Source organism: Homo sapiens, chromosome 6 (genome assembly GCF_000001405.40).
Source record: "Homo sapiens chromosome 6, GRCh38.p14 Primary Assembly".
Lineage (NCBI taxonomy): Eukaryota > Metazoa > Chordata > Mammalia > Primates > Hominidae > Homo > Homo sapiens.
The window spans coordinates 67,591,867-67,595,048 of record NC_000006.12 but is presented as its reverse complement, the minus strand read 5'-3'; the positions used below and the strand labels follow the sequence as shown (position 1 = coordinate 67,595,048).

General features: G+C 34.2%; 1 annotated feature.

The window, feature by feature from the left end:
- Positions 406 to 606: a silencer, noted in NCBI's record as "peak5873 fragment used in MPRA reporter construct". NCBI's record gives its function as "represses an SCP1 promoter by STARR-seq MPRAs in K562 erythroleukemia cells {active_cell/tissue: K562}" and the evidence as "EXISTENCE:reporter gene assay evidence [ECO:0000049][PMID:32103011]".

Genomic DNA, 3,182 nt, shown 5'->3' with positions numbered 1-3,182 from the left:
ATGTCAGTGCTGTTTAAAGGTTTGTTTACATTTTATTAATGCCCCTGTTAAAACGTTATTAGTAAGCTTAAACAAACAAAATAAATAAAACAAAGTAAAAATTATCCAAGCTATTAACTGGTAAATTCTGAAACTGGCTTAAATTACTTATTGAAATTATGACCATAAATTTAACTGCATTCATCTTCTGGAGTACAGTGAAAAGGTACTGTCTATAGCGATTAAATAATGCTTAAAAATTTCTCCTCTTTTGAATCTTTTTTCTTGCCAGGCACTACTCTAGCTGTTTGTTAGTTCTGCAGTCATAAGAAGAAAGATCTCAACTGTACTCTTACAGAACTCATTTTCTGTAGCTAGTTAAGTCCCCAAATTCATACTATGTAATATAAGGAAAGTACAGTGCTCTCAGATCACATGAGATGAGCATTTACACTAGATGCCTAAGCTGTGAAATGGAAAAGTTAGAATGAGTTGGCAAGCATGCTTTTGTAGAAGTTTTCTAAGTCAAAACACATCATGTAACAAGAATCCCAAGCCAATGTGATAACAACACAATAGAGAGAATAAAAGGATGTCAATATGGTGCAACATAAGTTGTCACAAATATACAGAAATCTGCTTATTAATGGTCTCGCATGCCCTGTTAGGAGATTTTGTCTTATCTCAAGAAAAATATCAGGATTATTGAACAGCTTATCTTTAAATAGGTGAGTAAAGTGATTTGAAAGCTAATACATTTTTTCAGATACTTTATAGCACAGAGTTTATTATTGCATCTTAAATCCTTGAAGATAAATTTATATGTGACTTTTGATGCAATAAAACAGATAAAGATTGATTTTATAATAGAGTTTACTTTTTAGAGCCATTTTTGGTTTACAGAAAAATTAAACAGTTGGTATAGAGATTTCCCAAATATTCCCTGCCTCTACACATGCATATTCTCTCCTATCATCATCATCATCCCCTCAGCGGTGCATTTGTTAGTACTGATGAACCTACACTGACCCAAAATAATAAACCAAGGTTCCTAGTTTTCATTAGGGTTCACTCTTGGGGTTGTACCTTCTATAAATTTGTACAAATGTATAATGACAAGTATGCATCTATCATTATAGTATCATATAGAGTAAAAGACCTCTGAGATACACCATTCATCTCTCCCTGCCCCAAGTGTTTGCAGTAAATAATCTTTCTAATGTCTCCATAGTTTAACCTTTTTCAGAATGTCATATAGTTGGAATCATACTGCATATAGCCTTTTTAGATTGGCTTCTTTCATTTAGAAATATACATTTAAGATCTCTCTACCTCTTTTCACGGCTTGAGAGCTCATTCCTTTTTACTGCAGAAAAATATTAAGTAGTTTATTCATTTACTGGAAGACATCTTGGTTCCTTCCACATTTTAGCAGGTATGAAAAAAGCTGCCATAAATATCCAAATATCCATTATTATCCAAACTTATTTTGTGTGGAAAATAAGTTTTCAACTCATTTGGATAAATACCAATGAGTGCTAATGCTGAATCATTTGGTAAAAACATGTTTAATTTGATAAGAAACTGCTAAAGTGTCTTGTAAAGTAGTTGTACTGTTTTGCTGACACACCAATAATGAATTAGAATTCCTGTTGCTCCACATTAGCACATTTTAAATATTATCTACAAATTAGATTGAAGGAGAAAAGGTGGTGCATGAAGATGCAGTAAGAATAATTTTTAAATGTCCTATGGAGTATGGTGACTTAAATGAGAATACTAACTGGCAGAAAAATAAGTACATTTAAAGTATAATATGAATATAGACATTTACTTCTGAAATGGCACAATCAGAAGGTCCATGGACAAGTTTTTCAGTGAAACAAGCATTACTGGTAAAAATCATTGAAAAAAACTCTTCTGAAATTATTCAAAGGAAATGAAACAAATGAGATATTCAAGAAAACATACTTGAACTTGGTAAAAACAGTGAATCTATGGAATTTAAAATGTGAGCATATCCCTTTATCTTCCCTTCCACTTCGGCAAGATGGAAATTCCAGGCATGCACAGTAAAAAACACAGAGCTCCCTTCTTCAAGCTCTAATTCTAGAGATATCGTACCTTCTCGGGAGGGAAAGACCACCAGAGTTTTCTATTCTCCATAGCTTCGCATTGCAAAAGTTAAATTCTAGAGGAGTATAACCAAAAGATTGGGGGCTTCTTTCTTCTTTCCAGCCCAACTCAAAAGGCACGGATCAACCTCAAGTACAGTATAGTGAGAATATTGGGCATCATAATATTTACCCCAATTTATTTGTAAGGCAGAAATATTATGGAGGGGAAGCATGAAGGAAGAACAGTTTGACCTACCACTCTGCTCCTAAAGGGTGTCACCTAGAGAGAAGCATCCTACTGTCTCGCCCATCAGCTCCAGAGCTGGACATCAGATTATTTGCCATGGGAAGAGGCAGACCACAAATCAGAGAACTCTGAAGCTTTACCCAAAGGAAATGCCTCTATTTGAAACAGAGTATTGAGAAGTTCAAGTTGAAGGGTGACATTAAAAAACAATGGAGCTCTCGTTAGTAAGCAAATTAGTAAAGACTGATGCTTCATGGGAAATAAGGCCTGAACAATTAGCCAGCTTGTTTGCCAGAGAGAAATAAGAAAATACAAAGCTGAGATGGCTCCATCTGAAGTGAGACAAAAAATCTCAAACATTTACCTCAAAAGCTATCCTCACAAAGGACTCTGGATTTAATTGAATTAAACTGTGGGTCAATTTATACCATAGGACCATCTTGAAAACAATAGAGGAGTTAGCTAAAAATTAGTGGACCCTAACAGTTAGACATGTTCAGGGAAAGAGAAAATCAAAATTAGCCTTATTAAACCACTTTCATCCAAGTGTGACTTTGTGTTTACCAAGGCTGCACAGTCTAAGAAGCAATGCCAAGACTTCACCCTGTGGAGGTAATATGCTTCACTAAAATAGTACAGCCAGTCATTAAATAAGTAAGCAAACAACAGTAAGAGGCACTAGAGGGATGAATAGTTGTTATTTGAGTGGCTACAATATATCTAATATTTCCAGTTTTCAGTAAAAAGTATTAAAATGCAAAAATAAATTATAGAAGTGTGATTCATACACATATACATATGTTATGCAAATAGGCAAAATAAAGAGCTAGTGAAAGAGA